This window comes from Homo sapiens, chromosome 5, assembly GCF_000001405.40.
Source record: "Homo sapiens chromosome 5, GRCh38.p14 Primary Assembly".
NCBI lineage: Eukaryota > Metazoa > Chordata > Mammalia > Primates > Hominidae > Homo > Homo sapiens.
Window position 1 is genome coordinate 119,779,457 of NC_000005.10, and position 1,225 is coordinate 119,780,681.

Genomic DNA, 1,225 nt, shown 5'->3' on the forward strand with positions numbered 1-1,225 from the left:
TCATTTCTTTTTATTCTTTTTTCTCTAAACTTCCCTTCTCGCTTCATTTCATTCATTTCATCTTCCATGGCTGATACCCTTTCTTCCAGTTGATCGCATCGGCTCCTGAGGCTTCTGCATTCTTCACGTAGTTCTTGAGCCTTGGTTTTCAGCTCCATCAGCTCCTTTAAGCACTTCTCTGTATTGGTTATTCTAGTTATACATTCTTCTAAATTTTTTTCAAAGTTTTCAACTTCTTTGCCTTTGGTTTGAATGTCCTCCTGTAGCTCAGAGTAATTTGATCGTCTGAAGCCTTCTTCTCACAGCTCATCAAAGTCATTCTCCGTCCAGCTTTGTTCCATTACTGGTGAGGAGCTGCGTTCCTTTGGAGGAGGAGAGGTGCTCTGCTTTTTAGAGTTTCCAGTTCTTCTGTTCTGTTTTTTCCCCATCTTTGTGGTTTTATCTACTTTTGATCTTTGATGATGGTGATGTACAAATGGGTTTTTGGTGTGGATGTCCTTTCGGTTTGTTAGTTTTCCTTCTAACAGACAGGACCCTCAGCTGCAGGTCTGTTGGAGTACCCTGCCGTGTGAGGTGTCAGTGTGCCCCTCTTGGGGGGTGCCTCCCAGTTAGGCTGCTTGGGGGTCAGGGGTCAGGCAACCACTTGAGGAGGCAGTCTGCCCCTTCTCAGATCTCCAGCTGCTACTGGGAGAACCACTGCTCTCTTCAAAGCTGTCAGACAGGGACATTTAAGTCTGCAGAGGTTACTGCTTTCTTTTTATTTGTCTGTGCCCTGCCCCCAGATGTGGAGCCTACAGAGGCAGGCAGGCCTCCTTGAGCTGTGGTGGGCTCCACCCAGTTAGAGCTTCCCTGCTGCTTTGTTTACCTAAGCAAGCCTGGGCAATGGCGGGCGCCCCTCCCCCAGCCTCACTGCTGCCTTGCAGTTTGATCTCAGACTGCTGTGCTAGCAATCAGCGAGACTCCGTGGGCGGAGGACCCTCCGAGCCAGGTGCCGGATATAATCTCGTGGTGCGACGTTTTTTAAGCCCGTCGGAAAAGCGCAGTATTCGGGTGGGAGTGGCCTGATTTTCCAGGTGACAACCGTCACCCCTTTGTTTGACTAGGAAAGGGAACTCCCTGACCCCTTGAGCTTCCCGAGTGAGGCAGTTCTTCACCCTGCTTTGGCTTGCGCATGGTGCGCTGCACCCACTGTCCTGCACCCACTATCTGGCACTCCCTAGTGAGA

The 1,225-nt window shown here is 50.2% G+C and overlaps 1 annotated feature.

Annotated features, from left to right (window-relative positions):
• Positions 421-1,012: an enhancer, noted in NCBI's record as "OCT4-NANOG-H3K27ac-H3K4me1 hESC enhancer chr5:119115572-119116163 (GRCh37/hg19 assembly coordinates)". NCBI's record gives its function as "activates a minimal SCP1, AML or CMV promoter by ChIP-STARR-seq in naive H9 embryonic stem cells {active_cell/tissue: H9 hESC(naive)}" and the evidence as "EXISTENCE:reporter gene assay evidence [ECO:0000049][PMID:30033119]".